Below are 12,915 nucleotides of genomic sequence, written 5' to 3'. Positions count from 1 at the left end.
CTTTCTTATAGGCACTTAACATCTACGTGACAAATCATACATCTTCCTTTATGCTTCATCTGACTCTGTATAATTTAGTCTTATGATGCAGCTCTTACTGTAGATGTTTTTCAGGAAGTGATTTATAAGGTTGAACTAGCTCAAATTAACACTTCTTATCAATTTAATGGCATTTTTAATGTTTTAATAATTTATGTTTTCTTTAACTGCTTAAGTACATATAGCCCAAAATATATGTTCTTTTCTTTTTAAATATGAATAACAATTACCCATTTCAATGAGTTCCTTCCCTGGAAGGTATATAATGTGTTTTTTTTATCCTTTAACCCTACCAATACCCAGGTCATTTTGTAGCTTTTCTTATTAACACAGCATTTCAGCTACAGAAGATGAAAAGTGGGGAGATATACTCCTTCAGTACAGAGTATATAATTTATTTTTACCTATAGAAAAAGTCTCTGATTTATTTTCAAATAACTCGTAACATTTGTCTTCCCAGTTATCTGACTATTTAACAAATTTGAATGTGACATTTACATGGTGACCTCAAACCTTTTATGCTTTGTTTCATTCACTTATTTTTTTTCTATTGCTATGCACACTTTGTTACCATTCACTGAAAATCTTAGACCACTTAGACATATTGACTAATTACTCTTTCTTGGCATCTATTAATTCTTTATATGCTGACAGATGCTCCTAAACTGGTATTTTTAACGATCATTTTGTGAATTCCAAAAAATATACAGGTTATATGATCTCTTTTGTTAGTTTTTATGACTTTTCTTGTGGGTTATAGGTATATCTTAAGGCATTAATAATCAAATGTCCTTTCAGAACTCCTTATCATTTTGACCACCTTGAAAACTAAAAATATTGACAAATCTTATTCAAAACTTCTTTCTTATCACTTACTACCTTTACCTTCTTTGTCTTCTAACCCTCTAATCACTTTGTTTCAGTTTTCTTCTGCTTTGTTTTCCCCCCCAAAAATAGTAGAAGCATTAATGTAAATTCTGTCTTATCCCCTTTCTTCCTCCAGCAATGCAAATATTAGATAGTAACCACTTCAAGCTTCAAAGCTTACAAAGTAAATTATAAAATCTGGATCCTTCTCAAAAAACAAAGGTCAAGTTGTGTAATTAATTATAATTTGGTGTGGGAGGCTTCAGAGGACTTTTCTTAACTGTAGGGTAAAATCTATCCTAAATTTTAGAATATAGGAACAAGAATCATATATGGACATTTATACATTCTTTATAAAATTTTTGCACAGTAATTTTTTTTATTATACTTTAAATTTTAGGGTACATGTGCACAATGTGCAGGTTTAGTTACATATGTATACATGTGCCATGTTGGTGTGCTGCACCCATCAACTCGTCATTTAACATTAGGTATATCTCCTAATGCTATTCCTCGCCGCTCCCCGCACCCCACAACAGGCCCCGTTGTGTGATGTTCCCCTTCCTGTGTCCATGTGTTCTCATTGTTCAATTCCCACCTATGAGTGAGAACATGCGGTGTTTGTTTTTTTGTCCTTGGGATAGTTTGCTGAGAATGATGGTTTCCAGCTTCATCCATGTCCCTACAAAGGACATGAACTCATAATTTTTTATGGCTGCATAGTATTCCATGGTGTATATGTGCCACATTTTCTTAATCCAGTCTATCATTGTTGGACATTTGGGTTGGTTCCAAGTCTTTGCTATTGTGAATAGTTTGCACAGTAATTTTTTAAAACAAATTCTGATGTTTTATTCAGAAACACTAAAAGAAGCAAGAAAATGCTTCCTAATTGAAGCTGAATTTCTTCATTTGTGGGCACAACAATGACTAATCATTGGAACTTTACTTTAAAAGTGAAAAGTTAATTAAGTGGAAGTACACGTCTTCTTTTGAGTAAGAATAGATAAATATCAACAATTTCTAATTCCTTAAATTTCTCATGTAGAATAAACTACAATTGTTAACAATTTCTCAGCAATTTCTTTACTTAAATGCTATTTTTCCATTGCACCTTATAAGAATTCTTCTTGGTAAATTGTAGACCACAAGCATTCCACTTATCTATTATGCAAAACACAGTTGTATTTATTAAAGCCATTCATTATAGATTTATTACCACTGGCCTCTATTTGTCTAGACAGTTAAATACTCCTGCGTTCTTCTCCTTCATTTTGCAAGAACTCATTACATTTATTTTATTTGTTTGGCACATGATCTCACTTTTGGTTTTCGCTTCCAGGTTCTGCCCTTTTATTACCCAATCTAGCTAAAAGAGAAGGAAGACTGACAACTTTCATTTAACTGTCAGGTCCTTTTGGAGTCCACTAGCTGCAGTAAAATGACTCTACATTGTACTTAACGAACCATGAAGAGAGTGAGACAAATAAAAAAGTTTTCATGCCCTTTAGAGCAAGAGGCTGGTCTCATCTGCTATTAAAGCTGATTAACAGCCTATACAACAACTGCCAGACATGGGGAAAAAGGTGAAATGGCAATGTAACTGAGCTACTCACCTCCCATAATGAAGCATCTGTTCAAAAATACAGAGTGTTTTCTCCTTCTAAGGAACTCATAAGGCAAAGGTGAACCAAGTAGTAAAGTAGACTCAATTAAACAATATGTGTTCTAATGGTAATAAGAGGAAAAGTAGGTTAGAAATAAACAGGAAAATGACAGGAGCTATTTCAGCAATTTAAATATTGTTCATTAGTGAGAATGAAAAGAAGTACGCAGCCTACCTACTGTTACAACAATTAGGTTCCATCCAATTTGGTAAGAATAATATTAAGCAGTAGATGAATTTTCTGTTTGGTTTGTAAACATAATAAAATTTCTGTATCATTTCTACATATTACTGGAATTTGACCCCTTACTTAGGAATTGTTTCTCCTCTCTATGTTTGGACACATTGGCTATTAGTTTAAGGAAACAGAAAAAAATAACTAGCATGAAAGCAGTTAGGATGGTCATGCTTTATTAACACAGATACATTCTTTTTCCCAGGAAGAATTTAGAATTTAAACATCTCAGATTATTTTAATTTTTCATGATTTTATTTCCCCCCCACCATATTTTTTTTTTTTTTTTTAGACAGAGTTTCACTCTGTCACCCAGCCTGGAGTGCAGTGGCATGATCTCAGCTCATTGCAACTTCCGCCCCCCTGGGTTCAAGCGATTCTCCTGCCTCAGCCTTCCGAGTAGCTAGGATTACAGGCACGCACCACCACGCCCTTCTAATATTTGTGTTTTTAGTGCAGAGGGGGTTTCACCATGTTGGCCAGGCTGGTCTGGAACTCCTGACCTCAATGATCCGCCTGCCTCAGCCTCCCAAAGTGCTGGGATTACAGGCTTGAGCCACAGCACCTGGCCTTTATTTCTTTTATCTTAAAGCTAAAATAAAGAGTTAGTTTAGTAATTTTCTTTCATAATAAATGAAATAATATATGTTCAGTCTATGTCTATGTATGTTTAAAATAAAACAGTAACCAATAACCAGTAACTCTACAGTATCCACAGCTATATAAAAATGGCCATGGTAGTTTACTTAAAATTTTAAGTAAAATTTTATTTAAATTTTACTATTTGTAGGTTTGATTCTCTGGAATATTAAAGGAAGTTTTCAGAAGTTATCTATTAAAATGCTGCTGCTTTCAGCAGGAGATGTAGCTTGTTAAGTGATCACAAAACATGGTTACTTTATAGAAATTAAATTTCAGAAAAGTATGAGAGACATTACTTAGAAAAAAAGAGGTAGGAAACAGAAGGAGGATGAAAACAGGGCACCACTGGCTTGGCACTGGAAGGTTGGATGGATTTCTGCCCATAATTGACCTCTTTGCTGACTGCCTGATTCAAGGGACAATCTACACAACCTAGAACCAGATTCAGTGACTTCATGTGAAGGGATTGGTTTACAGCCTGAAGTGCTTCAGGATAGACCAACTCTCAGTGGAAGTGCTACAAATAGGGCTGCCAGGATGTCAGGCCTTCCTAACAACAGGGAATTGATCTTAAAAATTGTGCTCTATCTGTGAAAACTGGGACAATAAATGGGAGAACCAATTGGTAAATAGGAAGGTAGCAAAGGCTGATTTAAAAACAAATTTATTTTTTTTTTTTAATGTATGTCATAGTTTTTCATAGGGCTCACTCTGTGGATTCATGTGTACTTTTCCTGTGGAGTTTTACTAATAAGATTTCCTTAAGAGAATTTTAAAGCACATTGAATTCCTTCAAAATGGTAAGGATTTTATAATCAAAAGAGAATGCAGGGCATATAAATGTTAACAATAATTTGTTATTAGGTTGAGTTAATACATTTTAATCAAATCTTTCAACGTTTTTATTTTTCTCTTTACAAAGAAAGTGTCTGTAAAGCATTTGCCTTTAGTTGTCAAAACAAATGAAAAACATTGCTGTTATTTTGCCTATAAGGAAACATCAATGCTTGTGGTTGCATGTATCGCTCCATTTATGTTGTAAGTTTTTTTTGTTTGTTTGTTTGTCTTATTTTGGGGACAGAGTCTCACTCTGTCACCCAGGCTAGAGGGCAGTAGTGCAATCTTGGCTCACTGCAACCTCTGCCTCTGGTGTTCAAATGATTCTCGTGCCTCAGCTTCCAAAGTAGCTGGGATTACAAGCGTGCACCACCACGCCTGGATAATTTGTGTATTTTCAGTAGAGACGAGGTTTCACCACATTGGCCAGGCTGGTGTATTGTAAGTTTATATTAAGGAACATTTCCTTGGAGGATAAGAAAAGACTATCACTTAAAAAAATGAAAATGGAAAGGTATTTTGTAGGTTTGTATAGCACATGCTTGACCTATTAAATATGTATATAGAGATTTTGTGAGTTCTATTGTTTATGACAGAAATATATCATGCCATAAAAGTTAAGTCTATGGTGCCTTAATGAAAGGAGATTCGACCCCAAATTTTCATGTTCATCTAAAAATACAGTGCATTTAAAATATCTTGTCAGCTTTGGGTTTGAATAACAAAAAAATCTGTTTTATTGGCCTCTAGCTATATAAATATAGTCAACGTTATTTGCCCTTTAAAATTCTTAACAAGAAAACCATTCATCTAATTTATACTGAAGCATTCTACAATATGCTTAGTATATAATCATCTGCTAGCACCACAATAAATAGCTACTATGTATTCAACAGAAGTTGTTATTAATCATCAGCTTCTTATAATGGCTATGCTTATGTCTTTCTAACAGCTCCACTCTGTCAATGAAGTTATTGTGGATTGAGCTAAGAATTTCATTAAGTGCCTACTTTTTTTAGAAGAAACAATTTTGTGAAGAACATGTAGACATATGCATACAGCCAATGTATAATTGCCTTATTATTTCATTGCCATAATTCTATTTTAGAGCTGGCTTCAGATATCCATCTTTAAAATTAACCACTTTAGAATAGGCTTGAGATTCACTCTTTTAAAGTGCATCAAAATATCATGTAAAATAGGAAAAGCTTTATCAGAATATGAATTCTTTCTTAATTTGAGTCTCAGTCTTTCTCCCTTTCAGTGGTGGCCAAGAAGCCATTTGAATGGAAGGTTGTGAATGGTAACCAAGTCATTGTTACCCAGTGAATTAATTGACTCAATTGACATAAATTAAAAAAAATTAATGCCTTGTGTATATTGATCGAGTAAATTTGGACAAGTAAAAATAATTTTAATCCATTGATTTAAGACATACATTTGGTAAATATAGAAATGACACTTCTTCTTTAACTTTTATTTTACATTGGGGGGTACATGTACTTGTTTGGTACATGGGTATTACATACGTAATGGTGGGGATTGGGTTTCTAGTACACCATCACCCAAATATTGGACATTGTATCTAGTAAGTAATTTTTCAACCTGCACCCCACTCAACCACCCCCATTTTGGAGTCTGCAGTGATTATTACTTTCATCTACATGTCCATGTGCACCCAAGTATGCATATACATAGATGAAGATCAACTCTATATCTATATACACACATACATGTGCATACATATTTCTATATTTCTATATATGTGTATACATATATACATACATATTTATATATATATATGAAAGCACACAAGAAAGTTTCTATGCAATTCCCAAATTTAAAAAATAAATACAATGTTATTAGAGTTTGAAAACATAATAAGGTCAGTGAGGTATAGAAACATTAGGAATGGTGCATGAGATAGATGGCAATGAATTAATTAAAAGCATTTAGATAGCTGAAAACAAAAGGTCTGGCCAGGACCAGAGATTCAAATGTAGGAATCTTGATGTGAAGTAGTGCTGTAAGAGACAATAAGGTGATTGGCTAAGCTTGTCTGCTTAGGGTGTTGAAGAGGGCACCCTCTTCAACAAGTGGTGCTGGGAAAACTGGATAGCTGTATGCAGAATAATAAATGTAGATCTCTATCTCTCATCAGATACAGAAATTGACTTAAAATAGATTTAGGACTTAAATGTAAGACCAAACTTATAAAACTACTCAAAGAAAACATTGGGGAAATGCTTTAGGACATTGGTCTGGGCAAAAATTTGATTGGGTAAAACTCCAAATGCACAGGCAACCAATATAAAAATAGACAAACAGTATTATATCAAGGAAAAAACCTTCTGTACAGCAAAGGAAAAAATCAAAAGTAAAAAGGTAACCTGTTGAAAGAGAGAAAATATTTGCAGACTATCCATTCAAAAGATGATTAATAATCAGAATAGATAAGAAACTCAAACAACTCAACAGCAAAAAAACTAATAATCCCATTAAAAAGTGAGCAAAGAATCTAAATAGACATTCCTCAAAAGAAGACATATAAATGGCAAACTGGTATATGAAAAAATGCTCAACATCACTAATCACAAGGGAAATGCAAATAAAAAGCACCATGAGATAGCATTCACCACAGTTAAAGTGCAGGCTTACACTGTGAAGTTGTAAGAAACACGGCACAAATGGAAAGAAGATGATACCATCAGAGAGAGAGAGAGGAAGGGAGAGGAGGGGAGAGGGAGGGAGGAAGGGAAGAATAAAGGACAAACTCTCTATTCGTTTCTTTATAGCCTTATTTAAAAAATAACCCGCAAGATTAAAAAAAAGAAAGAAAATAGAGAGGCATTACTAAACAAAATATCTGAATTCTATTTCACTTCTAGTAATACATGATTTAAGTTATTTTCCTATTTATCCAATGACTTCCATATCACTGTTTCTGTTTTTCTTCCCTAATAATCTGAAGGGTTTTTTTTTTCAAAGCCTGATTCTTTATGCTCTTTCTTTTTAAATGTGCATGGTTTTCCTAAGACATTCCAATAATTCTAATTCTTTAAATATTTATTTGTATTCTCTTTCACTCAATTTTTAAAAATGAATCTGTAATTCCACATCTGCATTCATGTTCTAGTCTAAATGCCTATTCAATCAGTGTTTTCACTGGATAGACTATTCCTATGCTGATAGAGTGTCATTGCCTCCAATTTATAAGGCACAAAATGAAACTTTGTTAGATTTTCCCAAACCCCGTTCAATAACCCAACTGATATATGTTAGTCACTATTTTGACATTTTATTTTTCTTTCCTACTGTATTACATGAATCATGTTTTCCTATACAATCTATCACCAATAAATACCGTCTTAGTCTAGCCCTGTCCAACATTAGTCCTATACCCACAACCATGCACTCACACCACTGATATGATATGAAAATATGACACTTTATTGAAATGTTTCAATCAAATTTCTTATCAAAGAAGAAAATCTGGAAAGAAAATAAAATAGCAATACATTTCAAGGTAAATGTTTTATATTAATAGATAGTTTGATTACAAATTGTAATAAAGTGAACATCTTTGAAGAACTCAAAGGCCCTCCTAATAGACAATATTACATTTATAAAAACTGCCAGTTAAAGACATTTTTTAAAACAATTTTTATTGATGCATAAAAATTTATTTATGAGGTGCATGTGATATTTTGAAACATGAATACCATGTGTAATAATCCAATCACAGTATTTAGGATTCCATCACTTCAAACATTTATTACTTCTTAGTGTTGGGAAGATTTCAAACCTTCTCCACTTACTATTTTGAAACATACAATATATTGTTGATAACTATAGTGCCTCTACTGTGCTATTGAACACTAGAAATTATTCCTTCTATCTAACTGTATGTGTGTAGCCATTGACAAACCTCACTTCACCTTCCTACCCTCAGCAGTCTCAGCCTCTGTTAAGTATCATTCTATTCTCTACCTCCTTGGGATCAATTTTTCTATCTTTCACATATGAGTGAGAACATACTATATTTTCTTTCTGTGCTTGGCTTATTTCACTTAACATAATGACTTCTAGTTCCATCCATGTTGCTGCAAATGGTAAAATTTCATTCTTTATTATGTCTGAGTAATATTCCATTGTGTATATCTACCACATTTTAGTTATCCATTCATGCATAGACAGACTCTTAGTTGATTCCATACCTTAGCTATTGTGAATACACTGATTTGATTTCCTTTCGATAAACATACAGTAGTGAGATTGCTGGATCATATGATAATTATATTTTTAGTTTTTAGAGAAACGTACATACCGTTTTCCATAAAGGCTCTACTAATTTACATTCCTACCAACCGTATACAAGAGCTATCCTTTTTCTATATCATTGCCAGCATTTATTTTTGTCTTTTTGATAATAGACATTTTAACTGGGGTAAAATTACATCTATTTGTGGTTTTGACTTGCATTTCCCTGTTACTGATATTGAACTTTTTTTCCATATACTTATTGGCCATTTGTATGCCTTCTTTTGAGAAATGTCTACTCATATTATTTGCTCACTTTAAAATTATTATTTTGTTTTTGTTGAGTTGTTTAACTTCCTTCTATATTCTGAACTTTAGTCCCTTGTCAGATGAATAGTTTGTAAATGTTTTCTCCCATCCTACAAGTTTTATCATGACTCTGTTCTTTCCTTTGCTGTGAAGAAACTTTTTATACATTTTAAAATGGCCTCGTTTGTCTATTTCTGTTTCTGTTGCCTGTGATTTTGAGGCCTTAGCCATAAATCTCTAGCCTAATGTTTTGAGGTATTTACCCTATGACATCGTCTTGTAATTTTATAGTTCTGGATTTTACATTTCAGTGTTTAATCCATTTTTAGTTGATTTTTGTATCCAGTGAGAGGTAGGGAACTGTTTTCATCCCTCTGCATGTGGATATCCAGGTTTCCCAGTACTATTTCTTAAACAGGGTGTCCTATTCCAAATTTAAGCTCTATGCACATTTGTTGAAAATCAATTGGGTTTAAATACATGGATTTATTTCTGGGTTATCTGTAAACCAGTGGAACACTGCACTAGTTTTTGTGTTTGTTTTTATTACAATACCATGCTGTTTTGGTTACTATATCTTTATAGTACATTTTGAAGTTTGGTTTTGTCATGCTCCAACTTTGTTCTTTTTCCTGAGTGTTACTTTGGCTACCTGGGTTTTTTGGGGGGTTCATAGGAGTTTCAGGATAGTTATTTATTTATTTCTGTGATGAATGTCATTGAAATTTTGATAGAGTTGCATTGAATCTATAGATTGCTTTGGGTTGTATGGTCATTTTAATGATATTAATTATTTCAGTCCATAAGCAAGAAATATCTTTCTATTTATTTGTGTCCTTTAATTTCTTTCATCAGGGTTTTGTAGATTTCCTTGAAGAGGGCTTTCACCTCCTTGACTAAATTTGTTACTAGGTATTTTATATGTTTTGCAGTTATTGTAAATGACATTGCTTTCTTGATTTCTCTCTCAGCTAGTTTGTTATTGGTATAGAAGCATTAGATTATTTTGTATATTGATTTTGTATCCTGCAATTTTACTTTTAAGTTTCAAGATTTTTTTGTGGTGTAGTCTACGTTTTTCTCAAATATGATGTCACTTGCAAGAAGGATAATTTTACTTTCTCTCTTCCAATATGATATTTTTCATTTTTTTCTCTTGCCTGATGGCTCTGGCTAGGACTTCTACTACTATGTTGAATATGAATGGTAAAAGTTGGCATCTTAGTCATGTTTCACTTTTTAGTTTTTTCTCATTCAGTATAATGTTAGCTGTGTGTTTGTCATATATGGTCCTTATAATGCTGAGATATGTTTGTTCTATGCCTAATTTGTTGAGAGTTTTATCATGAAGAGTTGTTTAATTTTATTAAGTGGGTTTTGCATCTATTGAGATAATTATATGGTTTTTGTTCTTCCTTTTGTTGATATATCTCATTTATTGACTTGCACTATGTCAAACTATATTTTAGTTCCTGTGATAAATCTTATGGGATCATAATGTAGTATATTTTTGATGTGTTCTTGGATTAAAATTTGCTAGTATTTTGTTGAGGATTTTTGCATCTATGTTCGTCAGGGATATTGGTCTGTAGATTTTTGTTGTTGTTGCTGTGTCCTTGTCTGGTTTTGGCATCAGAGTAATGCAGTCTTGTAGCATGAATTTGGAAGTATTACCTTCTCCTTAATTTTTTGAGAAAGTTTGAGACAAATTATGTTAATCATATTTTAAATCTTGGTAGTATTCAGCGGTAAAGACATCTGGGCTTTTTCTCTGTTGGGAAAATTTTTATTATTCACTCAATATCATTACTCATTCCCATTATCATTTTTGGTCTCTTCTATTTTTCTATTTCTTTCTTGTTTAGAAAGATAATTAATAAACTGCCAAATTGACTGATTAAGAAAAAAAGAAGACTCAAATGAAATCAAAATAAAAAAGGAGATATTAAAACTGATTCCTCAAAGGTACTTTTTCTAAATATTCAAATTATATTTCTTTCTGGCTTAGAAAGAAATAAAAAACCTGAAGAGATAATGAATGATAATGGTAGGTTGTACGTGTACAGGAATTTATCCATTTCCTTTATGTTTTCCAGTTTGTTAGTACATAATTTTTCATAATAGTCTCTGATGATCCACTGTCATTTTGATGAACCTTTTTTCATTTTAATTTCATTTATTTGAGTCTTTTTTCTTAGTCAATTTAGCAGTTTATCAATTTTGTTTATCTTTTCAAAAAAAGAATTTTTCATTTCATTGATACTTTGTATTGTTTTTACACTCTTTATTTCATTTAGTTCTGCTCTGCTATTTATTACTTCTTTACTTCTGCTAATTTGGGGTTCTCTTTTTCTTTGCATTTCTAGTTCCCAGAAGTGCTTCATTATGTAGTTTACTTGAAATGTTACTGCTTTTTTGACATACGCCTTTATTGCTACAAACTTCCCTGTTACTACTGCTTTTGTTGTATATCATATGTTTTGATACATTATGTTTTCATTTTTATTTGTTTTTAGAAACCTTTTTATTTTCTTAATGTCAGCATTGACACAGTAGTCATTCAGGAGCATGTTATTTAATTTTCATATATTCATACAGTTTTCAAAGTTTGTTACTGATTTCAAGGTTTATTCCATTGTCATTCAAGAAGACACTTGATGTAATTTTGACTTTTAAAAAAATGTGTCAAAACTTGTTTTGTAGGGTAATTTTGGAGAATGTCCCATGTATCCAAGAATGTGTTTTCTGCAGCTGCTGCATAAAATGTGTTGTAAGTATTCTTGAGTCCATTTTGTTCTAAAGTTCAGTTTAGATCCAAAGTATTTTGTTGATATTCTGCCTAGTTAACCTGTTTATTGCTAAGAGCAGGGCATTGAGGTCCCTAATATGACTGTGTAAAAGTATATAAATCCCTTTTGATCTAATAATATTTGTTTTATATATCTGGGTAATCCATTGTTGGATGCATACATTTAGAATTGTTATATTCTCCTGCTGAATTTATCCCTTTATCATTATTTAATGAATTTATTTGTCTCTTCTCACTCTTTTTGACTCAAATCCTGTTTTATGTGCTGCAACTCTAGCTACTTTTACTCACTTTTGGTTTCTATTTCGTGGAATATTATTTTCCATTTCTTTATTTTCAGTCTACTTGTGTCTTTTACAAGTGAAGTGAGTTTCTTATAGCATATATCTGGGTCTTCTTTTTTAATCATTTCAGCCAATCTATATCTTCTAATTGGTGAATTTAATCCATTTATACTGAAAGATATTATTGATGGGTGAGTACCTATTCTTGTCATTTTGTTAATTGTTTCTAGTTGTTTTGCGTATTCTTAGTTAATTTATTTATCTCTTGTATATCATTAGAGATTGGTGGTTTTCTGTAGTAGTAACATTTGAGTTCTTTCACTTTCTCATTTCTGTGTCTTCTCCATCAGTGTGTTTCATGGTTATGTTTACATAATGATACATTTTTTTCATTCATTACTAGATGTAGGAGTCCCCTAAACATTTATTGTAGGGCTGATCTATTGGTGATGCCTTCCTTCATTTTTTTACTTACCTTTGAAAGACTTTATTTCTTTTTCATATTTGAAGGATAGCTTTGCTGGGTAAAGTATTCTTGGCTGACACAGTTTATGTTTCTTTCAGCAATTTGAATATATCACGACATTCTCTCCTGTCCTGTATACTTTCTGTTGAGAAATCTGCTGTTAGTCTGATGGAGCTTCCCTTGCATGTGACCTGACACTTTTCTCTTGCTCTTATTAGAATTCTCCCTTTGTCTTTGACTTTTGACAATTTGACTATAATATACCTTAAAGAAGACCTTTTTGGGGTGAATTTATTTGGTGTTCTGTGAGCTTCCTGTATCTGGATTTCTGTATTTACTCCAATATTGAAGACGTTTTCAGTTATTATTTTGTTTGATTGATTTTCTGTTCCTTTGCCAATCTCTTTTCCTTCTCTGATACCCCAAATTTCAATATTTGGTCACCTTATGTTGTCTCATATGTCACACAGGTTCTACTCTTTCTTTTTTAGCTTTTTGTTT

The 12,915-nt window shown here is 32.4% G+C and overlaps 2 long non-coding RNA genes across 5 annotated transcripts in view; one reads left to right on the top strand and one right to left on the bottom strand.

The window, feature by feature from the left end:
- Positions 1-12,915, bottom strand: part of LOC105378797 (uncharacterized) — a 396,491-nt gene that overhangs the window by 214,598 nt on the left and 168,978 nt on the right. The window lies entirely within an intron of this gene.
- LOC105378796 (uncharacterized) overlaps positions 1-12,915 on the top strand; it is a 56,436-nt gene that overhangs the window by 1,560 nt on the left and 41,961 nt on the right. Inside the window, exon 3 of the long non-coding RNA XR_001737673.2 lies at positions 11,559-11,625. This is a non-coding gene — a long non-coding RNA (uncharacterized LOC105378796). The remainder of the gene's footprint in view (positions 1-11,558; positions 11,626-12,915) is intronic.

This window comes from Homo sapiens, chromosome 1, assembly GCF_000001405.40.
Source record: "Homo sapiens chromosome 1, GRCh38.p14 Primary Assembly".
In the NCBI taxonomy this organism is placed as follows: domain Eukaryota; kingdom Metazoa; phylum Chordata; class Mammalia; order Primates; family Hominidae; genus Homo; species Homo sapiens.
Note: the sequence above shows the minus strand (reverse complement) of the source record. Positions and strands in the feature narration are given on the sequence as shown.